At 36.0% G+C, this 26,471-nt stretch overlaps 1 protein-coding gene across 5 annotated transcripts in view; it reads left to right on the top strand.

Annotated features, from left to right (window-relative positions):
- GIN1 (gypsy retrotransposon integrase 1) overlaps positions 1-21,724 on the top strand; it is a 34,139-nt gene extending 12,415 nt beyond the window's left edge. For 2 of the 5 annotated variants that reach the window (NM_017676.2, XM_017009599.2), the window contains exons 3-8: positions 815-1,008; positions 2,878-3,183; positions 9,943-10,134; positions 10,234-10,410; positions 10,898-11,183; positions 19,552-21,724. In NM_017676.2, coding sequence (NP_060146.2) covers positions 815-1,008; positions 2,878-3,183; positions 9,943-10,134; positions 10,234-10,410; positions 10,898-11,183; positions 19,552-19,826 — 1,430 coding nt within the window. In that variant the 3' untranslated portion in view covers positions 19,827-21,724. Of the gene's footprint in view, positions 1-814; positions 1,009-2,877; positions 3,184-9,942; positions 10,135-10,233; positions 10,411-10,897; positions 11,184-19,551 lie in introns of those variants that run through there. The other 3 variants (XM_047417343.1, NM_001317954.2, NR_134299.2) reach the window with 3 other exon arrangements.
- Positions 21,725-26,471: the final 4,747 nt, after the last annotated feature.

Here is a 26,471-nt window from a genome sequence, read left to right as displayed (position 1 = left end):
TGTTAACTGGGTTTCTGCTGTGTGCCAGTCACATTCTAAGCCTTGGAGATACATTGATGAATAACATAGATAAGGTTCCTGCTCTTAGGTTGCTTATCTTCTAATTCTAAAAAATAAGGAGTGTTCCACTCATCAGTTGGCTTACTCATATTAGTAGCTGAATGGTGTATTTTGGAGTTTGAATTGCTAGCCCATTCACATTGGAAAGGTAGATGGTGATTCGCTTCATACCCTGGTTACTTCCTAGCTGCAGATTCTTCTCAGGTGTCCTCCTAAGGAAACAGAGAATTGTCTTGAGGATTACAGTTTTTTCCACTTGCCCGCTTCACCATCCCTACCTTCTCAAATATAGAAGAAGCTGAGAGAGCTGTTTGCTTGCAAAAATACAGTGATGATAAAACATTATTTTAGAAAATTCTGTTCCAGGAAGTTGTTTTTCTGTACATAATTTATTTGCTAATCTATGCCATTTTTAGGAGGTGCCTGCAAAATCTTCCTACTTTGAGTACTCCCAGAGAGAGATAATTTCATATTTCCGTACTTATTACGTGCTTTGGTGAACAAGCTTGCTCTACTTATATTGATAGCTACAGAATTATAGCAGCTACTGCCCTTCCTAAGTATCTAGTAAGTGTAACAGCTAAGAACCTTTGTGTTGTAGCATCATTAAAAATAAATATTCTGTTTTAAATGCAGTAAGATTTTACAAAACAAAACAAAAACCTTCATGGTTTAAAGAGAAGGCTATGATTCTCTTAAAACTACGTAGATCTCTAAAAATTGCAATTCTATCTTTTGGTATCATTTATTCCAGAAAAAAAGCTGTTTTATGTTGGAAAAGACAGAAAACAAAATCGTTTGGTAATTGTTTCAGAAGAGGAAAAAAAGAAAGTCTTAAGAGAATGCCATGAAAATGACAGTGGAGCTCATCATGGTATATCCAGGACCCTCACTCTGGTAGAATCCAATTATTATTGGACATCTGTGACCAATGATGTCAAACAGTGGGTATGGCTTATGTATTTAGAGTATTATGAATAATGTCTTTCTGATAGATACTTAAAATTTATTATTTCTCCAGATTTATTCTGGGTATCACCTCTCATTAAGTATTTTTGGCAATCACTTAAAGGGAGTTGTATTTCCCTTCACAGTTATTTTAAATCACTTAAGTATAATTTGAACAGGAAAGAAGCATTATTTAAACACTTGAAAATACCATATTTAAATAAGAGATTATTTAAAAAATCAGATTTGTATCATTGAACTTTTTTGTGTAGGCAGAATTTAAATGGAGCTGGAATTCATTTGACTAAATCATTACTTCTTCAATGGCAGTCATACAAGGTTTTCTTAAGGGGAGAATATGTTCATAGTAAGTCAAGCCCAGTATGTGCTCTTATCTTTTGTGCCTGTTCCATTTTGAGGTAGAATGTCATACATGACAGAAACCCAAAACCAAATATAACCAAAATCAAATTTTGAGGATAATGAAATAAGTCTGAGTTTTGTAACTTTATGACCCATTGGGACCTTCAACTTCTAGTAGAAAATTCACCTATAGGAATTTTGGGGTTCTTGCTGGAAGTCAGCTGATTCTACTCTTTCCAGTGTACTGTATGTCAAATGGTAGGAATTCCTTGGTATATCTGTGAGATCTCCTTAATAATTGTAGTAGTACATCAAAAAGAGTGGCATTTCAAGCATAAAGAATTAAACCAAAATTTCATAAGTATAATTTGTGAGTTATCAGTTTGTGGGTCTATTCAGGTATTCCAAAGACCTTCATAATTTATATATTTTTCCTGCTGTGCATTTTTTACAAACATTCAGTGAAATCTTTGTCAAATTGTTATCACTGGAGAATGAATATGATTTTTGGAAATAATCAGAAGTTATTTGTGATAAAATCCAACAAATAAGTTTAAATTGGAAAGTGAAAATTTTGATCAAAAGTAACTGTGACTATAATGGGATTAAATGGCTTTTAAATTTTTCTTCAGAAGCTAGTTTGAAAGTAGTTTCTAGAGTGGAATTCCAGAGATACATTGAGAAATGGCACCCATCCATAAATTGATCAGTTGATCTTGTCTCACCTCACTCAAATGAAAGCTGCAGGACAGCATGGGTTTTGTGTATGTTTATTCTTTTCCCACGATTGAGAGAAATTGCTCCATCTATACATTTTATATGAATGAAATTATATTTCAATAAATATGGTTGGAATAGATTAATGAATAAGCTTCTTAATGTGATAACTTTAGAAGGAAACATTTTATGTATATAGAAATTATTGTAAATTTACATACTGATTTAATAGGAAACTTAAGATCTTTTTAAGTATTTAATAAATATTTATTGAATGTGAACCAGATTTATGTTCCATGTGAATAAGACCCAATAAGATGGTCATTTGGTAGTATAGTCTTCCCTCAGTATATGCAAGGGATTGGTTCCAGCACCACACTCCTGTCACCAAATCTACTCATACCGAAGTCCTGCAGTCAGCCCTGTGAAACTCACATATACAAGAAGTCAGCTTTCTGTATACTTGAGTTTCTCATCCCTCCCTATCAATAGAGTACTTTTTATTTGTGTTTAGTTAAAAAAAAAAAGCCATGTATAAGCTGACCTTCACAGTCCAAACCCATGTTGTTTGAGGGTCAGCTGTAGTGGCTACTACAGTTGTTTGTTGTTGTTTTATTTGTTTGTTATTCTAAATAGGTTTAATCCAGTGATTCTCAGTCCAGAAGTTTCTCCTTCAAAACACAAAGTATACCTATTAACCATTTTAAAATTCAGATTTATAAGACTGCTTTTATATTGTGTTGAGTGTTAACATTTGTATGTGTTTTCTTTATTGTGTGCCTGTTGTAGGTATATGCTTGTCAGCATTGCCAAGTGGCAAAAAATACAGTTATTGTAGCACCGAAACAGCACCTTCTCAAGGTGGAAAATCCATGGAGTTTAGTTACTGTTGATCTGATGGGGCCTTTTCATACAAGCAACAGAAGTCATGTATATGCTATAATCATGACAGATTTGTTCACCAAATGGATTGTGATTTTGCCTCTATGTGATGTTTCAGCATCAGAAGTTTCTAAAGCTATTATCAATATATTTTTCTTATATGGACCTCCTCAGAAAATAATAATGGACCAAAGAGATGAATTCATTCAACAGGTAAGACAAATAAACTACTTAGGTCTGGGAGCATATCTTACTTCTTTTCAGTGTCCAGAACCAGTGCCCTCTGCATTATATTACAGAGTGCTTAATAAGTTCAGATAAATTTCTGTAGGTATAGAGGTATGATATTAAATACTACAAGGATAGTTGTACTGGAAATTAGGAGATTAGGATTTTAATACTTACTGTGGGTTATTGTAAACCTATCTTCAGATATCCTCAAATTAAAATGAGGAGGTTGGACCAAATAATCTTTATTTACTTCTAGATTAAAAACCCATGATTGGTTGGGCCTGGCTCATGCCTATAATCCCAACAGTTTAGGAGGCTGAGGTGGGTGGATCACTTGAGCTCAGGAGTTCGAGACCACCTGGGCAATAGGGCGAAACTCCATCTCTACAAAAAATACAAAATTTAACTGGGCATGGTGGTGGGCGCCTGTAATCACAGCTACTCGGGAGGCTGTGGCAGGAGAATCACTTGAACCTGGGAGGTAGAGGTTGCAGTGAGCCAAGATTGCACCACTGCACTCCAGCCTGAGCGACAGAGCGAGACTCCATCTCGAAAAGAAAAAAAAATTAGCCAGGTGTGGTGGCACACACCTGTGGTCCCAGCTACTCGGGAGGTTGAGATAGGAGGATCACTTGAGCCCGGGAGGCGGAGGTTACAATGAACTGAGATTGTGCCACTGCACTTCAATCTGGGCAACAGAGTGAGACCTTGTCTCAAAAAATAACAATAATAATAATAACACTATGATTGACAGGTAAAGGGAGACTTAAATAAATGGAAGAATACATTTTCTTCATGAATAAGAATAGTCAGTATTGAAAGGTACTTTCTCCCTTGCTCTGGCCTTTTCCCAGTTAAAATTAACCTGAAAGGATAAGCAGGGGAGAATATATATGAAAACTTTTTATAAGAAATACAACAACTGCTAGACTTAAGGCATATGTTAAAACTTTTTGTAATTGACAGGGTATATGTTTAAGAAAAATCAGAGATAGCCAGACTTGGTTGAAAGCATCTTTGATGGCTCAGTCCAAAAGAAATACCTAAAGTTAATATGTATTAACTAGTAGATAGGACATGTGCCATGGCACCCCAGGATTATTCCCAGTTTCCATAATTCTCTAGGAGGACTCAGCATATAGTCATACTCATGGCTAAGATTTATTCAGCAAAGAGAAAAGACACATTGGGAGAACCAGGTACAAGTTTCCAAGATCTCCTTCCCCAGTGGAGTTACACAGGACGTGTTTAATTCCTTTAGCAGAGTTGTGACAACATAAGGAAGCTCACTAGAGTCTCAGTGCCTAGGGTTTTTACTGGGCGCTGGTCACATAAGCACCTTCTACCTGGCATGTACAAAAATTCCAGACTCTCAGAAGGAAAGATTGTGTTTGGTCTTATAACCAAAATCTAAGCTCCTAGACATTAGCCAAGGTCCAACCTTGTAAGCATGCCTTTCAAAGAACAGCAGTCACAGATCTGCTTTGTTAATATGTTAAAATTAACTGTCAGGTTAACTCTTTTCTTCACAGGTCCATCCAAACAACTTAATAAGTATTTATGTTCTAACCACTTAGTAGCAATTTAAAATACTCATAAATTGAAAGAAAATATATTTTTGTTCCATTCTTTTCTTTTTTTTTGAGACGGGGTCTCATTCTGTCACCCAGCCTGGAGTGCTGTGGCACCGTCTTGGCTCACTGCAACCTCCACTTTCCAGGCTCAAGTGATACCCCCACCTTAGCCTTCTGGCTAATTTTTGTACCTTTTTTCTTTTAGAGACAGGTTTCACCATGTTGCCCAGGCTGGTTTTGAACTCCTGAACTCACATGATCCACCTGCCTCGACCTCCCAGAGTGCTGGAATTACTGGCGTGAGCTACCGCACCCAGCCCTTTCATTTCATTCTTAACCATAATTACTTGCTAATGGGTAATGTGTACCTGTTGACCACTGCTTAACTTCTCAGACCTTGGGATCATATTGTACACTGCCACCCTCATTTCCTGTTTCACACTGATTTTTACATAGTAACTGCTTTTTATCACAGCATTCGATGAAGAAAACAGTTCTGTAAAGATATGATGTCATCAAACAAATTGTAACCTGATCTAATGTTGAAACTGAACTACCTTAAACTGGTAGTTTTCATGGTGTCAAACAGATGTTAAGGGGGCAACTTGGCACAAAGTTTGGTAACAATGGTTTAAATGATAAAGCTAGTGTCACAAATGTGTCTAGTAGAGGAGGATCATGTAATTAATTAACAGGTAACAATTTGCTAATTGTTTAAAATTATATCTGTAATATGATTTTAGAATCCAATACCAAAAGTATTTTCAGGTAAATTAAAAGAATTTTAATTTTTAAAGTAGAAACAGAAAAAAATATATTTGACATTTAATCTCTAGAAATGGAGGTCACATTCTAAACCTAGGAATAGTGGTATAAACTTCAATGGAAAAACATTAAATTTGGCTGCATAATAATAGGAGATTTATGTGGTAAAGTAATCAACATATAAAAGCCAATCTTGCAAATAAAGCAAGATAATTTTGTAAATGAAGGCAAGGTAGTCTTGCCTGCCTTGATTGACATAGCAGTGGTCTGAGCAATGGAGTACGTAAAGGCCATCCAGTTTGGGGGAAGGCTATTGGAACTTCTATTTATATTTTTTAAATCCCAAAAATAAGAAATGAAGCTTTATTAATAATGTATACGATTGATAATAGCATTCTGACTCAATCAACAAGACATGTATGTCACACATGCTATGTGAAGGTATCCTGAAAGAAAAGTGAGAATCCACATGTTTCCTCACCCATACTTTTGCTTTCAGCAGTTGAATGAAAGTATGGATATCATCTAGCATTCACCACACTACTCACAAAATGGCCAGGGAGCTTAGATTTTTGCAGTGAAAGCAGATAATACTAAAAGGCAAACACCCATCATCAACCACAAGAAAGTGATAGCGCCGGCACGTCTATTTAACTTCCAGCTCTTTGTTAGACACATCAATGAGATGAATACAAATATTAACTACAATAGTCCCCATTTATCTGCAGTTTTACTTTCTGAGGTTTCAGTTCCTATAGTCAACTGCAGTCCAAACATATTAAATACAAAATTTCAGAAATAAATGATTTAAAAGTTTTTTAATTGCACACCATTCTGCGTATAGTGATAAAATCTCATGCTGTCCTGCTCTGTCCAACTGGGACGTGAATCATCTCTTTGTCTAGCATATCTTCATTGTATATGCTACTCTCTCCCCATCATTAGTCACTTCATAGCTGTCTTGGTTATCAGATCAAATGTAGTGGTTAGTAGTGTGTATCCAAGTTACCCTTATTTTATTTAAGAATGCCCCCAAAGTGCAAGAGTAGTGATGTTGGCATATTGTTAATCGTCCTATTTTATTTTTAGTTGTTAACCTCTTACTGTGCCTAATTTAAAAATTAATCTCTATCATAGGTATGTATGTATAGGGGAAAACATAGTATAAATAGGGTTAGGTACTACCTGCAGTATCAAACATTCACTAGGGGCCTTGAAACATATTCTCTGAAGGTAAAGGGAGACTATAGTTATCAGATCTGATAGGAAATTAGGCATCAAAATTCAAAATTATCAAGAATACTCTTTGAAATATCAGTTCACTTCCACTTTTATTGATGGAGAGCCTTACCCTAAGTGCATATAATGTTTCAAGGTATTTGCTAATGATAATATGAAGCCATTATGATTAGCTAGCAGTTTTTCCAGTCGTGTTTAAAGTCATTTGATAACCAAACCAGGACTTTGAAAATTTTTCTAAAGGTAACAATAGGGCCAAGCATGGTGGCTCATACCTCAGCTTTTTGGGAGGCTGAGGTGAGAGGATAACTTGAGACCAGGAGTTCAAGACCAGCCCATGCAATACAACAAGACTCCGTCTCTACAAAAAAAAAAAAAATTTTTAATTAACTGGACGTGGTGTTGCACACTCATAGTCCCAGCAACTCAGGAGGCTAACGTGTAAGGATTGCTTAAGCCCAGGAGGTGAAGGCTGTAGTGAGCTATGGTTGCACCACTGCATTCCAGTTTGGGCAACAGTGAGACCCTGTCTCAAAAAAATAATAATAATAATAATAATAGGCTGTGCTCAGTGGCTCATGCCTGTTGTAATCCTACCAGCCAGATTGCTTGAGCCTAGGAGATCGAGACTAGCCTAAGCAACATGGTGAAATGCCATCTCTACAAAAAATGCAACAATTAGCCAGGAGTGGTAGGGCACACCTGTAGTCCAGCTACTTGGGAGGCTGAGATGGGAAGATCGCTTGAGCCCAGGAGGTTGAGATTGCAGTGAGCCAAGATCATGCACTCTAGCCTGGGTAACAGACTGAGACCCTGTCTCAAAAAAAAAAAATAAAAAATAAAGGGTAACAATAAATATTTGCAGGCCTATTTTGTGAGATTGCTTAAACAAAAAACCAAAAAAGCGACATATGATTGGGAAAACTTGTTCTTTTTGCTGTGATTAAAATGGCTTCACTATTACACAGAAAGCATAACGATGACAGTACAAAATGAACTCTTTTGTCAGCAAATACTGATGCAGAAAACACTGCTAAATATTATAACATAATACACAATGTGGGAGGTTTATTGTATAGTTGAATAAAAATACAGATGTTTCTAATGGCTTAGCTTAGAGTATTTGCTAAATTGTTCCAATAAAATGCACAAAGAACTTTTTGTAAACCTCTGAAGGAAAGAGAACAAACATATTCAGTAGGAAAATTAATTTTTTTAAATGTCTTACAGAAAACTAAAATTGTAAGAACTGACGGAATATCTGGTTTGATGGTTGGGGGGCTGACAGAGTAAGGATGTCAAGATACCATTTCACAAATGGATTCCCTGGATCATTCCTAGGCAAGCTTTTGAAACAAAGAAGTTAAAGCCTTTTTCAAGGGTCATTTCAAACCATTAATCAAGACTCAGATTGAAGCTGACCCAAATGACACCTATTCTTTGGGATTTCTTTCTAATTTTGAATTAAAAATAGTCACCCTGAATTAGTATGTATATCAGCTAGGAAGTGTATTCAATCCAAGTAACAGACTTCCTTTCCCTATCTCAATATATTAATATATATTGTATATATATTATCCCAATATATATTGGGAGTGATTGAGAGTCACTCCTATTGTATTCACAACGTGGCTGCTGGAGCACATGCCACAATGCCTACATTTCAGTCAGAAAGAAGGGAGAGAGTGTTGGGCAAACAAAGCTAGTACCAGCTGAGTTTGCCTAACAACTTTTACTTACAACTTTTTGGCTAGAATTATGTCACATGACCACCCCTACCTGCAAGGGAGTTTGGGAAATGTAGTTTTCTTTTTATTGCTTTCCCCTCTTGTATTAACTTTGCCTATTTAGTTATTCTGATACTACTCGTCTGAAATATTCTTTTTTAAAAAGACAAATTTATGAGCCAAAGGTTTACTCAACTAAAAATAATAAGGAAAAAAAAAGTCTGAAAGGTGAGGTAGGAAAAAAATATTATTTTATATTTAATGGGTTTACTGTTAAAAGTTTTGTAAACTCATTTTAAGTGCTACACATAATATAGTAACACCAATAATAGTAGTTATAAGTTAAAAGTTATAAAATGCTTATTGCCAATAACTGTTTTACATGCTTTTTAAACATTAACTTATGACCTAGTGGGTTGTTTTTGAGACACTGTCTACTGAATTAAAAAGTTACTTGAGGGCCGGGTACAGTGGCTCATGCCTGTAATCTCAAAACTTTGAAAGACTGAGGTGCATGGATTGCTTGAGTCCAGGAGTTTGAGACCAGCCTGGGCAACATGGTGAAACTCCATCTGTACAAAATATTTAAAAATTAGGTGGGCATGGTGACACATGCCTGTAGTCCAAGCTGCTAGGCAGGCTGAGGTGAGAGGATCGCTTGAACCCAGGTAGTGCAGGCTGCCCTCCAGCCTGTGCGACAGAGCAAGACCCTGTCTCCCACCGCCCCCCACCAAAAAAAAGAAAAAAATTAAACTCAAAGTTAACGTTAAGTTCTGTTCTTCCATTTCCTTGTTGTATGTGTGTATTTGGCAAGGCACTTAATCTCTCAAAGCTTCAGTATCTTACCTTTAAAATGAAATTAATAATACCTCAAAAACTTGTAAGGTTTAATGACAATAATGTAAAGTGTCTAGTGTGATGGGACCAGTGTGTAGTAAAGACTCAATAAATGGCAATCACTATTTTATACATAAAATTTTACATATTTTATGTATGTGTTCATATAGAATGTTATGGTCAATAAAAAAGCAAGATTCAGCCAGGCGCAGTGGCTCATGCCTGTAATCCCAGCACTTTGGGAGGCCAAGGCAGGTGGATCACAAGGTCAGGAGTTCAAGACTAGCCTGGCCAATATGGTGAAACCCCGTCTCTACTAGAAATACGAAAATTAGCCGGGTGTGGTGGCGCACACCTGTAGTCCCAGCTACTCAGGAAGCCGAGGCAGAAGAATTGCTTGAACCTGGGAGGCAGAGGTTGCAGTGAGCCGAGATTTTGCCACTGCACTCCAGCCTGGGTGACTGAGCAAGACTCCATCTCAAAAAAATAAATAGATAAATAAAAGGCAAGATTCTAATTCTTTTGAAGCTTTTTTTTAAGTCAATGGAAAAATAAAACACAAATTTTAAAAAGCCACCTTTGTTTTATATATTTTTCAGATCAATATTGAACTGTACAGATTGTTTGGCATAAAGCAAATTGTAATTTCTCACACCTCTGGAACTGTTAACCCAACGGAAAGTACACCTAACACAATCAAAGCATTTCTCTCCAAACACTGTGCTGACCACCCAAACAATTGGGATGATCACCTATCAGCTGTTTCATTTGCCTTCAATGTAACTCACTTGGTATGTGCCTTTTTATAATTCTGTACTTCTGAGTTATGACTATTTCTTGGCCAGATAAATGTTTTATTACAAAATTGACGTTTATTTTCTTTAAAATAGGAACCTACTAAAAATACACCATATTTTCAAATGTTTAGTCGAAATCCTTATATGCCTGAGACTTCAGATAGTCTTCATGAAGTGGATGGTGATAATACAAGTATGTTTGCCAAAATTCTAGATGCAATTAAAGAAGCTGATAAAATAATGGAGAATAAGACAACTTCACTGGGCCAGGTGATTCTATTCAATAGAAAAACTGTAATCTAAAACTTTATAAAAGTTATATTTATTTTTAAAATTTCAGCATATACATGTGTGCATGCACACACACACACATACTTACTTGCCATAATTTTTTATCTATCAGATTTTTCTTGTCTTGATTAAATAGTTGGTTTACTAGCTATGAAATGCTGAGAGGCAATAATGAGAAAGCTATGGATTTTGGAATCAAGTAGAGCTGGATTCAAATCTGTAGTCTTAACTGCTTTTGAGTTGTTTGACTTCGGCAAATTACTTAACCTATCTTAGTTTACCTTCTATATAAAGTAGGAGCTAATAATACTGACTTTGAAATGTTTTAAGAATTAAATAGAATTCATACCTACCTTTTAGTAGCATCTCAAGTACCATTTTGTTACAATATTCTCATTATTTGCATTTACCTTCAAGATATTATAGCTCTTTCATCTCTTTGTTCTTTTTCTTTTTACACTTGTAGATGGAGAACAACAATTTGGATGAACTAAATAAAAGCAAGATCATTGTTAAAAAGAAACCCAAACAATTAAATCCATTTCATTTAAAAGTGGGTCATGAAGTTTTAAGACAAAGGAAAAATTGGTGGAAGGATGGTCGTTTTCAGTCTGAATGGGTTGGTCCTTGTGTCATAGACTATATTACAGAAAGTGGATGTGCTGTCCTGAGAGACAACACTGGGGTTAGACTGAAAAGACCTATCAAAATGTCCCACCTTAAGCCCTACATAAGAGAATCCAGTGAACAAGGTAAATATCTGTCACTTCTCTACATTTTTATTGCTTTAGGTAAGGAGAATAGTTAAAAATAACAGAAACCTTTCTCCCCTCTTTTGTTAGGTTTTCTTTTCCCTTCTTCATAAAATTTGTTACAGTTTTAGCTATCCCAGGTAGTCTGTTTTATTACAGTGTCTCTTCTGGAACTGTCAGGCCTGTGAGATTTTTTTTTTGAGACAGAGTTTCCCTCTTTCTGCCCAAGCTGGAGTGCAATGGCGCGATCTTGGCTCACTGCAACCTCTGCCTCCCGGGTTCAAGCAATTCTGCCTCAGCCTCCCGAGTAGCTGGGACTACAGGTGGATACCACCATGCCCAGCTAATTTTTTGTATTTTTAGTAGAAACGGGGTTTCACCATGTTAGCTAGGCTGGTCTTGAACTCCTGACCTCCCGTGACCTGCCCGCCTTGACTTCCCAAAGTGCTTGGATTACAGGCATGAAACAGGGTGCCTGGGCATTTTTATTTTTATTTCTAGTATGTTTTTCATAGTTTATGTGGGAGATACTGAACTTGTTTTCCTCTGAAGGAAAGATAACATCTTAACATCATCTCTGTTTTTGCTTTCTCAATGTTTTGTTTGTTTGTTTGTTTGAGACAGAGTCTCATTCTGTCCCCCAGGCTGGAGTGTAGTTGTGTAATCTCAGCTCACTGCAACTTCTGCTTCCTGGGTTCAAGCAATTCTTGTGCCTCAGCCTCCCAAGTAGCTGGGATTATAGGCACATGCCACCATGCCCAGCTAATTTTTTTGTATTTTTGGTAGAGATGAGGTTTCACCATGTTGGCCAGGCTGGTTTTGAACTCTTGGCCTCTAGGGATTTGCCTGCCTTGGCCTCCCAAAGTGCTGGGATTGCGTGCATGTGCCATTGCACCTGGCCTTACAAATGTATTAGTCACTTCGTGCCTCTTTTTGGCATGAAAAACAGCAACTGTGATCATTAATGCCAAAAACAAACATACTGTCCAGAATCTAGTTGTGAGATAAATATTAGGGTACTTTAAAAATGACATTAATTTTTAATATTGCTTTATAGTTAGGTCATGGTTGGGGGCCAGGTGTGGGTGCAGAGTGGGGAATCCTCAGAATGCTATAAGGTGCTGTAAGAAGAGGTGACAGCACTCTAAACAAGTTATATTTGCCCCTAAATTTGACTCATTCTGAACAGTCAAGATACCCTAGTAAAGTGATGTTTTTGCCATGGCTTTTAGATTATGTTCCCCACTTTATCAAGGCTTTTATTTTGTCCTAATGTGTCTGCTTCCTAGATCTTCTCTGAGGTGGATAACTGAGAGAGAGTTAATGAGTAACTTAGCCAGGTGAAACATTAATATTATTTGGATATAAGTAACATTTAATGGAAAATATATTTATAACAATATAAACAAGTTATATGACAGGCTTTAGCAAATATTAATAACAAAAAGAGTAACAACAACAAATAACCTACACTTACCCTATGCCTTTTCTTGAGTTCTAAAGCCCATGTGGGCTGCTTAGTAATGATAGCTCAACTCTGCTTCTAATCTGGGTTACAACACTCATGTTAAAACCTCTTAGTACCTTTCCTTCTTGTGACAGACCGAGTTGTTTAGTCAGTAAACTTATCTTGAACTACATTCTAATCCTGAAAACTCACAAGTGCTTTCGTTCTCTTTGTTAGAAGATAAAAGCTTGCATTGTTTGTACCTCTTCTCAGTTCTGAGCTACCTTTAATGATCTCTCTCTTCTGCAAGTTAAGTAGGGAAAAAAAAGGTTATACAAGTATATGTTGTTCTAGCTTCTTTAGCATGATTTTCCCCTTAATCTTTGACATTCATGATTTGCTCTCTTCTAAAGTGTTAAGCTTCTTTAATACAAAATTTAATTTAAAATTTTGCTAAACCAGGATCTATCAACATTTTGTAATTTGTTCTTGTCAAAGAGTTTCTCAGAAAAGAAGTCAAATATTGTGCTTCTTCTGAACATTCAGAACTCAGTATTTCAGAACTCATCTTCTCTGTTTGAGAACAGTCTCTAAACAGAGGCAGTATAATATTTGCCTCATACTTGAATTCTTTGCACAAGATTCTTCCAGTAATATAAGGACAAATAATATTGCAATATGACTACTGGTGTATGCATAAGGAATTTAAGACTAATTAGATGAGTCTGTTTTAGTTTTTCTTGTTAACTAAAGGAACTACTGATCTGGCCATCCTAGAATCTGGTTCTTATTGCTTGATCCTTTTTTTACATTTTTCTCATTTGTAGAAATTAAAAGTAAATGTGATTTCTGCCATCTTTTTCCTCAATATTACATACTTTCTTGAAAATCTTTTCCATGATTTTCTTGAAAATCACCTCACAAGTTGATTTGAAAGAGTCCTTGAGCTGAATTAAAGCAAACAAAATGATTTTGACTAATCATTGAAGTTTTTATTTGACATAAATTTTGACATGCTATAGCCAAAAGAACTATAAATTTATTTGTCCACATTTGTCATTGCTGCTCTTTGCTAGCCTTGAAATTTCATAGCTCTGTTAAAAACTCACTGTCTAAAGTAGATATACTTCTATTGCCAACTTCTTATCCATTCTTATCTAGAACTAAATGTAGAGTGAGCACATTCAGTACTAGGTATACAATATTTTTCATTGCTATTTTAAGCAGGCCTGTTTGTTTTTTTGTCTAGTTCATTGCCAAGCGCTTTTTCAGACTATTTAGACCAAGAAATCTTAAAATACCATAGTGTCTTTTTGTAATCATAATGCTCCTCTTTGAAAGGAAAAAATAATCTGACATAGATTTTGCACAGTTTTGAATTTATTTTGTTTGTGATAGATTTGGATCTGCCTCACCCAAGGTTTTAGCCTGATTTCCCTTCACAGTTGAAAGCCCCATTTGTGAAACCATTTTCATTATTGTATAAGTTTCCTCTTGTTGCTGTAACAAATTACTACAGATTTAATGGTTTAAAACAACACACATTTATTATATTACAATTCTGAAGGTTAGAAGTTCAACATAGATCTTACTGGGCTAAAATCAAGGTATTGGCACTGTTGTGTTCCTGTCTGGAAGCTCTAGAAAATAATCCATTTTCTTGTCTTTTCCAGCTTCTAGAGGTTACCTTCATTTCTTGGCTTGTGGTCCCTCTATCTTCAAAGCCAACAATAGTGGGTTGAGTCCTTCTTACATCACCTTACTCCAACCTCCTCTTCTGCCTCCCTCTTCTATATTTGAGGACCCTTGACCTTGGCCCTGCCCAAAAAGTCCAGGATAATCCCCCTATTTTAAGGTCATCTGATTAGCAACCTTAATTCCATCACTACCTAAATTCTCCTTCACCATGTAAGATTACATATTCACAGGATCCAAGGAGTAGTATGTTGACATCTTTAGGGGCCTATTATGCTGCCTACCACAATTATGGTCTGCATTCATGAAACAAAGCAAAGCACAGTCCCTATAGTGTCAAGACCATGATCTTGACGTTAATATAGTTTATGCAGAGAGCCTTTTTTTGGCCTCTTAGTTATATCTTTTTTTTTTCTTTCTCTTTTTTCCTTTTTTTTTTTTTTTTTTTTTTTTGAGACAGGTTCTTACATGGTTGCCCGTGCTGGAGTGCAGTTGCACAATAATAGCTCACTGCAGCCTTGACTTCCTGGGCTCAAGCAATCTTCCCACATCAGCCTCCCAAGTAGCTTGGAATGTAGGCATGCATCACCATGCCTGGCTGAGTTTTTCGTTTTTTATAGAGACAGGGTCTTACTATGTTGCCCAGGTTGGTCTCAAACTCCTGGACTCAAGCAGTCCTCTCACCTAGACCTCCCAAGTGTTGGAATTACAAGTGTGAGCCATTGTGCCCGTCCAGTTATATAATTTCTTAACCAATAGTTACTCAGTTATCTGTTGACAGTATTAGTTATTATAATGACAGTGATTTAGTATCAAGTTATAGTTATTATTTTATCTTGAGAAAGGATATACTAGTATGGCAGCACATTCTAATAGTTTGAGGATTATCAAACCATATATAGGATTAGTTTAGTCACTTCTCTTTAAAATAAGAAAATTAAGTAGTCTGAAACCTTTATCTTTTTTTTTCTGATTGAAGAAATACATTAATCTAAATCAGACTTTTTTGAAGCTGTAATTTGTATTTATTTTTCTCAGGGAAATTTAAAAATTGATTTTTTAATTATTATTTTTATTCCTTAAAACAACATTAAGGCTGGGCACAGTGGCTTATGCCTGTAATCCCAGCATTTTGAGAGGCCGAGGTAGGATTGCCTGAGCTCAGGAGTTCGAGACCAGCATGGGCAACATAGTGAAACCCCGTCCCTACAAAAATTAGCCGGGCATGGTGATACGCACCTTTAGTTTTAGCTACTTAGCGGGCTGAGGCAGAGGATCACTTGAGCCCGGGAGACTGAGCTGCAATGAGCCAACATTGCACCGCTGCACTCCAGCCTGAGTGACAGAGTGAGACCCCATCTTTTTTTTTTTTTGAGATGGAGTTCAACTATTATCACACAGGCTGGAGTGCAATGGTGTGATCTTGGCTGCCTGCAACCTCCGCCTCCTGGGTTCAAGCAATTCTCCTACCTCGGCCTCCTGAGTAGCTGGGATTACAGGCGCCCACCTCCACACCCAGCTAATATTTGTATTTTTAGTAGAGACGGGGTTTCACCATGTTGGCCAGGCTGGTCTCAAACTCCTGACATCAAGTGATCCACCCGCCTTGGCCTCCCAAAGTACTGGGATTACAGGCGTGAGCCACCATGCCTGGCTGAGACCCCTGGGATTATAGGCGTGAGCCACCATGCCTGGCTGAGACCCCATCTCTTTAAAAAAAAAACCTACATTAGAAATGGATATCAAAACTGCTGATTAATACCTTCCTGAAATGTCTTGAAAATATTTTAATTTCAAAGAAACTAAAGACTTATTCAGTCTTGTCAAAACCAAAATGATGCTTTCATCAAACAGATGTCATAATCATAACTAAATTAATGGAATGAGAAAAGATAAATACTTAGTGAAATGTACTGTGTAATGTAGCTGACTAGAAAAGACCTTTAATATGATATGTTTGCTTACTCCCCGCCTCTGTTTTGAGGGCAGAAAGTTTAATCATATTCTTTTCTGTATCCCTAACTCATGATTGTTTTAGATTAGTGTTGTCCAATAGATGAATAATAATACAAGAGCTATGTAATTTAAAATTTTCTAATAGCCACATTTTGAAAAGTACAGAAATAAATGAAAATAACCTTAATAATATATTTTATATAATCCAGTGTATCCAAAATATTACTTGTTCAACATGTAAGGCCACAAGAGTCTCTTTTCTGATCTCTTTACTGAAATTAAAGAGCATTTCTCTTAGCTCCAGTAGATTTAGACCATAGTAGGAGTTGAAACATATTTGACCTTTGCAAATGAATGAGAATTTTTTTTGTAAACAAACAGGCCTTTGACATATTCAGAGTGGTTTTCTATGTGTATAAAGTGATTTATGTAGAATTTGCTGTGTGTAGTCCTTGTTCTCTACAGTTTTATTACAATAAGTTACTTTAAAGGTTAACTTTTTTTAGAAGAAAAAGAGTGTGTGTGTGTGTGTGTGTGTGTGTTCGTGTGTGACTTATTTTACTTACATACAGAAGCTCTCTTAAAATCAAGTGAGGTTGGTATGTCCATTTGTTTCTAACCAGTGTAACTAGGAGGTACTCAAGTTCAAGGTCTCTGAATCCATTTCAGCAAATTAAAATGAAAATTTCTAAGAGCTTTACATCTAGGCATATTTTTCCCTATTGACATATGTTTACTAGACATATTTTTCTAAAGTAGTCCTACTTCATCTGTATGAAAAAACTTTTACAGACAGAAAACCTCCTTCATTAATCCTCTGAAAGAGTCTTTGGGCATTTCTTAAATGCCTATGGTAACTGCCATCACTGATAACTTTGTAGGAATGTACAGGCCTTGAACCTATGGAATTCTCCATGACTTAGTAGAAAATTTCATCAGCAACATGTTTACCCTATCTAACCTTTTAATGTTCTCTTATAAACTACCGCCTAGCCTTCTCTCGTATTAACAGTAGGGTAGTTGCAAACTTTGATGTTAAACCTCTAGCAACACATTCTGAAAGTGTTTCAATGTTATTGATCATGTTTTCTTCCCTCTTGCTGCTATTGGGTATAACACATCTCATGTGTTGCATGATTTTCGTTGTTGTTGTTGAGACAGAGTCTCGCTCTGTCACCTAGGCTGGAGTGCAATGGTGCGATCTCGCCTTACTGCAACCTCCACCTCCTGGGTTCAAGCAATTCTCTCACCTAAGCCTCCCCAGTAGCTGGGATTACAGGCACATGCCACCATGCCTGACTAATTTATGTATTTTTAGTAGAGATGGGGTTTCACCGTGTTAGCCAGGTTGGTCTCGAACTCCTAACCTTAAGTGATCTGCCCGCATTGGTTTCCCAAAGTGCTGGCATTACAGGCATGAGCCACTGCCTGGCTGCATGATTTTTATTTTATTTTATTTTTTTTTGTCTTTCAGAATTATGGGAGAATAAATGGCCATACAAGCCCAAGCCCACTTATGCCATCTTTTGGTAGAGAGAATAGCTTTGTGTGATCTGTTAAAGTTTATAAATTGAAAGTTGTTAAATGCATGAATTTCTGGGGTTGAAATAGGTTCAGTGAGCTATTTGTAATAATGTTATGAGGGTGAGTACAGTAGGATTGATTTTCAAAATATACTACCAAATTCATCTGTTCTGAGACACTTCCATTGGTCTCTAATCTAAATAGGCAATTAATCTTCCTTTTGCTTTTTTGGTCTTAAAATTTGAGGGCTCCTTAACCCATTAACATCTTCAGGAGACCAACCTAGGCAACACAATTAGCCAGGCATAGTGACATGTGTCTATGGTCCCAGCTATTTGGGAGGCTGAGGTGGGAGGATCACTTGAGCCCAGAAGGTCAAGGATGCAGTCAGCTGTTATCACGCCATTGCACTCCAGCCTGGGTGACAGAGCAAGACCATGAATGAATGAATGAGTGAATGAATGAATGAATGAATGAATGAAAAATAAGTAAATAAAGATAAATAAATATATCTATATCTATATTCTGATGTTTTGGGGGAACATTTAGAAAGAGAAGGTAGGGATCCAGGAAGTTAATCAGCTTTGGTAAAAGAGTTTCTTATTGTAATGAATTCAAATATCAGAAAGGGAGGAATCCTTTTATACATATTAGTCTGTGTATAGAAGATTTGCCATCAGTTTAACATTCATTTTAAACATTTTTTTCTTGATGGTGATGATAAATTTGCTCAACATACAATAAAACACTGACCAGGAAGACTCCCTGTCAGTACTTCAGTATGGCTTAGGTAGACCTTAAAAGTTCCTAAGAATTTTGGTATCAAATTAGATTTAAATAAGCTAAGCTTTTTAAGCTACTCCATGGCAGCCTGCCTTCTTACACATTATCACATAAGCCTCAGTTGGCATGTTGTTTTTAACTTCATACTGTAACAATTTGATGATATTATCTTTCCAATATGGGTTTTATAAAGATTGGAAGATTATCTCAAGTTGTAAATGCAAGGATTTAATAATTCTATTTGTTAAAATAATTATATGACCCTATTAATTCACCCAGAAATGCTTTACAGAAGCATATTAAGGATAACATTATCAAAAATAGTTTTATAATTTTTTTTTTAAGACAGGGTTTTGCTCTGTCACCCATGCTGGAGTGCAGTGGTGCCATCATGGCTCACTGCAACCTCAATCTCCCAGGCTCAAGTGATCCTTCCATCTCAGCCTCCTAAGTAGCTAGGACCATAGACACCCTTAACCACACCTTGCTAATTGTTTGTATTTTTTGTAGAGAAGGGGTTTCGCCATGTTGGCCAAGCTGATCTTGAACTCCTGGGCTTAAGCAATCTACCGGCTTTGGCTTTCCAAAGTGCTGAGATTACAGGCATGAGGCACTGTGCACAGCCTTATTATTTTATTTTTAATCTATACCATAATTCTCACTCCTTCTATCCCGTTGTCCGCATATATACATATCTACCAAAGACAGGTTGAGGGAACAGGAAAATGGCTGTTTTAAAATCCTTGACCTTTCCTGCATTGTTTATGTATGAACTGTCAAATTTATATGTCATTTTTTTATTCTTTGACATTCATATTTAGTAGACAGTATAACTCCCTAGAAGTTAATCTTGATAGTTAATTTTTATTACTTGGGATTTTGTTCCTCACTTAAAATTGTTTAATTAAAAAATATGTTTAATTATAATTCTAAAAGTCAAATGTATGATTTTTCTTTTTTCAGAAAGTCTTTATCTCTTGCAAGGTTCAGTAGTGGCAGATCATGACTACATTGGATTGCCTGAAATTCCGATTGGAGCATATCAAGCAAATATTCTGGTGGAAGATGCAACTATTGGTATAGTCGATAATGAATTACTGACATCAAGCAAGGATCGTGAACTATTAGAATATAGAAATACGAAAATCTCTCCATTGATAGACGATCATAGTTCTCTTGAAAAGCAGACTTTCAGTCTGTTGGACTCTTCAAACCAGGTTCTTGAATACTTAAGTTAGTAAATACCAAAATTTATTTAAATTGTTTGTTTAGAATATAAATTCTTAATGATATCTTATTCATTAAAAACGTTGTATAGAAGAAGTATCTTGACACATTCTTAATGACTATATTCTGAAGGTTTATTTTATAGTTCTTATCTAAAATTATGCCACATTTGAATATCAGTATACGTACATATGAAGGCAAAGGAAGCATGTAATATATAGAATTCACTTTTTCTTCTAAAAAGAGAACAGGCAAAGCACCCCTACTTCTTGGGAAATAAATTCCAGCCCAAATCTCTCAAACCTTTGTATGGTTTTGGCACCGTTTCTAAGTTTTAAATTTTCTGAAATTCTCTACCATTTAAACAGTAAGTTTGAACTACCTTGAATGGAATTGATAAATACTGAATCAACTGTAACAATGAATGAAATGAAGCTTCTTTCTGTTTCATTAGAACTTCTAAAAACAAGATTGTATGAAAAAATATAGGGTTATTTAATAGGCTTTCACAGAATATTGGTAATTTCAAATTATCTAATTGGTTAGATAGGGTCAGGATTAGGGTCTGAAACTATGTATTGGTTGGGAAACAATTTGTTTATTTTCATACTATATATTAAAGATAAAACCATCGACCAGGCATGGTGGCCCACACCTGTAATCCCAGCGCTTTGGGAAGCCAAGGCAGGATGATCACTTGACCCCAGGAGTTCGAGACCAGCCTGGGCAACACAGGGAGACCCTATCTCTACAGAAAAATGTTTAAAAATTAGCCAGGTGTGGTGGCACATGCCTGCGGTCCCAGCTACTCAGGAGGCTGAAGTAGGAGCATTGCTTGACCCCAGGAGGTCGAGGCTGCAGTGAGCCGCGCTCATGCCACAGCTCTCCAGCCTGGGCGACAGGGCAAGACCTGTCTCAACAACAACAACAAAAGTATCCGTTAAGAATTTTTTCTGCAATCATAAAATCATAAAATAACCAGTATCAAAGATTTTAAACTGTAATTTCTATGATATTCATAAATATAAAATAAATATTGTTCAATAAATATTTATTCTAAAGCACTATGAAAAGAACTGTGGGAAAAGTAAAAGATGAGTCAAACGTGTACCTCATTCTTATAAAGGACTTACTGTCTGGTAGGTAATAAACTATGTAAGCCATGTACAGCACAAGTTAAGGCATGCTAAATTGCAGAAGACAGGTGTAGATAATGTACTTAGGGAGGCAAAAAGAGAGAAGTTGTTTTTACATAGGAAATTTGTGTTTATCCTTATGGAAGAAGGATCATTTAAGCTTGACCTTGAAGAATGTATAGGATTTGGTAAATGGATACAAAAGAATTAGGGGAGAAGTAATACACAGAAATGGAAAAGTATTGTAATGATTCATAAAAAGGCAGGGCTTCTTGTTGTCTACACTGCCTCGGGTATAAAGTGAAGAAGCAAGATAATGAGGGATAAAGCTGAAAAGGTAAGTAGGAAACCTTATGGAGAGCTTTGAATACTATTAAGGATTGATATGTGCCCCTCCCAAAATTTGTGTTGAAGTCTTAACCCCCACCACCTCAAAATGTGACCTTATTTGGAAATGAGGTTGTTGCAAGTGTAATTAGTTGAGATCATATTTCAATAGGGTGGGCTCTAATACAGTATTACTGGTGTTCTGATAAAAGGGGAAAATTTGAACACAGACTCAAGGAGAATGCCATGTGAAGATAAAGGCAGAGTTTAAGATTATGTTTCTATATGCCAAGAAATGACAGAGATTGCCAGAAAACTACCAGAAGTTAGGGGAGAGGCATTGAATACATTTTTCCTCATTCCTCAGAAGACCAACCCTGTCAATACCTTATCTCAGACTTTTGCCTCCAGAACTGTGAGACAATAAAATTCTATTGTTTCAGCCATCCAGTTTGTGGGACTTTGTTACAGTAGCTCTAGCAATAATACAAATGCCTGGCTAAATTATTTCTTTTCTGAGAGCAAAAACTTTGTATAGGAAACTGTCATAATCAGAACTGTGTTTTTGGAAGTTTAATCTGGCAACTAGTAAAGAACAGATTAGAAGAGGAGAAAACAAGGCATGGAGATTAGTTGAGAGGACTTCGCAGTGATGACGAATACTAAAAACCTAAACTGGGCCTGTAGCATTGGTAATGAATGGAGTCTGTCTTAAGATCAGTACAGAATATCGCACATATTATATTTCACAACCATACTGAACAGTGATGTGATATCAAAGATGGAGACCTGGAGTATTCTGATTACTCATTTAAGAAGAAAGATTATGTTTAATATAGGCTAAAGGAAAAGTGTTTAGGGTAGGGTGTGAATCTAGGACCTCATCTTATACCACAGACCAAATAAATTTCAAACAGAATTCCAGGAAGAAAAAAACAAAACTTTTTTTAAAAAAGCGTAATTGTATCAAACAGTGCTACCTATCCTGCTTTCCTCAGAAGAGCAAAGTTTAGAAAAGAGTCATATTAGAATATCTTTTTGGTAAATATAAGTGACTTTTTCTTAGCTCAAATGAAGTAACTTCTTTTTAATGATTATCTGACTCAAAATCAGCCTCTTTTCCCCCCATTTCAAGAAGGTGATTAGTATTCAGAGTCATTTTAAAATAACCAACTCTAAACATATTTTTTTTAATTTTTGCTTCTCCTAAGTAGTTTCTCATTAAACAGACTTTTATCCTGTGTTTATTAGTCATGTTAGGCTAGATTATTCTGTGTCTGCAAACCACTTCCAAAATCTTAGTAATTTAACAAAGCTTTATTTCTTGGACACCCCACATATTTCTCTTAGTTCATCAAGGGCTTGTCTGCATTTTCATCACCACTGCTGGATGTGGGGCCATGGTTCCCCATCTCTGGAATAACAGCTCACCATGACAAGGGAAGGAAAACATGAACTGAGCATTAGATCTCAAAAGTTGCTGCAAAGTTATGCACATCTTTTCTACAAAGGTGAAACATAGCTACACAGTGCTAATTGGTATGGGGTTTCTTTTTGTGGTGACAACAGTGTTCTAAACTTACTAGCGATGGTTTCATAACTTTGAATATACTAAAATCTACTGAAATGTACAATTTAAAATGGTGCTCCAGGTAGGCATCCACAGTTCCAGGCTCCAGGACAGTCCCTGTGGTTCAGGGTCCAGGTCTTCCCCAGTAGACCTCAGAGGGCAGGCTGGCCCCTGAGGACCCAAGCATCAGGCCAGCCCCCCATGAGGACCCCACTAGATTGCCCACCATGAACCTCTAGACTGGCAGACTGGTGAAGGGCTTTCTCTGCCAAAGCCAGTCTATGAAGACTGGAAGAGGTGCCTATTTTTTTTAATGTGCAGGTAGCAACACAGACTGCAAGAATCCTGAATAATCAGGGAAACATGATGCCACCAGAAGAACAACAACAAAAAAGCACCAGTAAATGACCATAAATAAATCGCCATCTAAAAACTGCCTGAGAAAGAATTCAACACAATTATCTAAAACAAGCCAAATGAGCTACAAGAGGGCACAGACAACTAACCAAAATCAGGAAATTTACATGAAGAAAATGAGAAGTTTAACAAAAAGAGAGAAAACATATTTAAAATTAAACTTTAGAACTCAAAAACACAGTAACTGCACTGACAAATTCAACAAAGAACTTCAAGAGCATACTTGATCAAGCAAAATAAAGAATCAACAAGCCGAAAGACAGAGCCTTTGAAATTACCTTGTTAGAGGAAACAAAAGTGAAGAAAGCCTATGGGCCTTTGAGACACCATCAAGTAAACAAAAATGTTCATTATGGGAATTCTAGAAGAAGCAGAGACAGAGAAAAAGGAAGAAAGCTTTTTAAAAGAGATAAAGACAGAAAACTTTCCAAATCTGGAGACGGAAGTGAACATCCTTATCTAGGAATCCCAAGGAACACCACATAGAAGAAGTATAAAGAAATCTTCACTGAAACATAATCAAGTTCTCAAACTTATAAAGCAGCAACAGAAAAGCAACATTACATGCAAAAGAACCTTCATAAAACTATCACCAGATACCTTGCAGACCAGGAGAGTGGAATGAGATATTTAGCCAAAGAAACTCAACCAAGAATACTATACCCAACAAAGCTGTCCTTCATAAATGTAGAAGAGACAAAAACTTGCCCAGAAAAAAAGCTGTGGGAATTTGACACACTAGACCTGTCTCACAGAAAATTCTAATGGGAGTTCTTCAAGTTGAAATAAAAGATGCTAGCTAACAACATGAAAACATATGAAAGTATTAAACTTACTGTAAAGGTAGGAACATAGTCAAATTCAGAATACTGTAATGGTGGTGTGTAAATTGCTTATAACTCTAGTATGAAAGTTAAAAGACAAAAATATTTCTTAAACTAGCTACAATAATGTGTTAATGGCTACACATTATCTAAAGATGTGATATTAATAACAAAACGTGGGGAGAGAAGAAATTTTAAAAGTGTAGTTTTTGTATGTAATCAGAATTAAGTTGTTATCAGGTTAACATAGACTGATATAACTATAAGATGTTTCAGATGTGCATCATGGTAACCACAAAGGAAAAACCTGTAGTAGATACACAAAAAGGATAAAGAGAAAGGAGTCACAGTATACCGCCGCAAGACATTGTTATATCACAAAGGAAGACAGAAAGAGGAAGAGAGGGAAAAGGACCTACAAAACAGTGAAAACAATGAACAAAATAACAGTAGCACATCCATAGCTATCAGCAGTTACTTTAAATGCATTAAATTCTTCCATCAAAATACAGAGTGACTGAATAGATTAAGAAAAACAAACTCTAACTATATGGTGACTAGAGGAGACTTCAGATTAAGGATGCACATAGACTAAAAGTGACAGGATGGAAAAATATATTCCATGCAAATGGTAATCAAAGGAGAGCACAATGGCTACACTTACATCACACAAAATAGACTTTAAGTCCAAAGCTTTCACAAAAGACGAGGTTATTATATAATGATAAAGGGGTTAATTCATCAGGAAGATACTGCAATTGCAAATATATATACACCCAACATTGGAGCACCTAAATATATAAAGCAAATAGTAACAGAATTAATGAAGAAATAGCAATACAGTAATAGTTGGAAACTTTAATGCCCTACTTTCGCTAATGGATAGATCATCCAGGCAGAAAATCAACATGGAAACAGCAGACTTGAACAGCAGTATAGACCAATTGGATCTAACAGATATATGCAGAACATTCCTATTCATTAGTAGCAGAATACACATTCCTTTGACGTAAGTACAGGACAGTCTCCAGGATAGGTCATGTTAAGCCACAAAACAAGTGTTAATGAATTTAGGAATATATTAAAAGTATATCAAGTATCTTTTTTGACTCAAGTGGTATGAAACTAGAAATCCAAAATGGGGAAGACTGAAAAATTTGCAAGTATGTAGAAATTAACATAACTCCTGAACAACCAGTGGGTCAAAAAAGAACTCAATACTGAAATGTAAAAATATCTTGAGACAAAAGGGAAACAAAATAACCAGACCTTATGAGAGAGACCAAAAGCAGTTCTAAGAGAGTAGGTTATAGCATTTTTTTTAAAAAGAAATGACCTGACTCTACATCTCAAGGACTAGAAAAAGAACTTAAGCACAAAGCAGAAAAAAGGAGATAAATGACAGAGCAGAAATAAGCAAAATAGAGACTAGAAAAATAGTAAATGTCAATGAAATGAAGAGTTAGTGTTTAGAAAACATAAACAAAATTGATAAGCCCTTAGTGAGACGTAAGAAAAAAGAGAAAAGACTCAAAATTATAAATGTGAGAATAAATATGATCACTGATATCAGCAAAATAGAAAGGAGCATAAGACTCTACTGTGAAAAATTATATGCCAACAAATCGGATAACCTAGAAGAAATTGATAAATTCCTGGGAATATACAAACCATCAAGATTGAATCATGAAGAAATAGAAAACCTGAACAAAGCAATATAACAAGTAAAGATATTGAATCAGTAATCAAAAACCCAGCAAACAAAAGACCAAAACCTGATGGTTCCACTGGGGAATTCTACCAAACATTTAATGACGAATTAACACCAGTCTTTCTCAAACTCTTCCAAAAAATTGAAAAGGAAAAAACATTTCCATACTCATTGTGCAAAACTACTGTTACCCTGATACCAAAGCTAGATAAGGAAACTACAAGGAAAGAAAATTATAGGCCAATATTCCTGATGAACATAGATGCAAGTATTCACAACAAAATACTAGCAAATTGAGTCCAATAATACATTAAAAGGTTTACATACCATGAACAAATGGAAGTTATCCCTGATGTGCAAAGATGTCTCAATATACACAAATTAATCAGTGTGATAGAATTGAATAGAATTGAAGGATAAAGTTATATGGTCATCTCAATCAATGCAGAAAGAGCATTTGACATAAATATTTTTTCATGAGCATTTGACATAAATATTTTTTCATGATAACATCTCTCAACAAATTAGGTATAGAAAGAATGTACCTCAACATAATAAAGGTCATGTATGATAAGCCAAAGCTAATATCATACTCAGTGGTGAAAATCTGAAAGCTTTTAAAGACAATGGTGCCCACCCTCATGACTGCTATTCAATACAGTACCATTGTT

The sequence above is a fragment of the Homo sapiens genome, chromosome 5 (assembly GCF_000001405.40).
Source record: "Homo sapiens chromosome 5, GRCh38.p14 Primary Assembly".
Lineage (NCBI taxonomy): Eukaryota > Metazoa > Chordata > Mammalia > Primates > Hominidae > Homo > Homo sapiens.
Note: the sequence above shows the minus strand (reverse complement) of the source record. Positions and strands in the feature narration are given on the sequence as shown.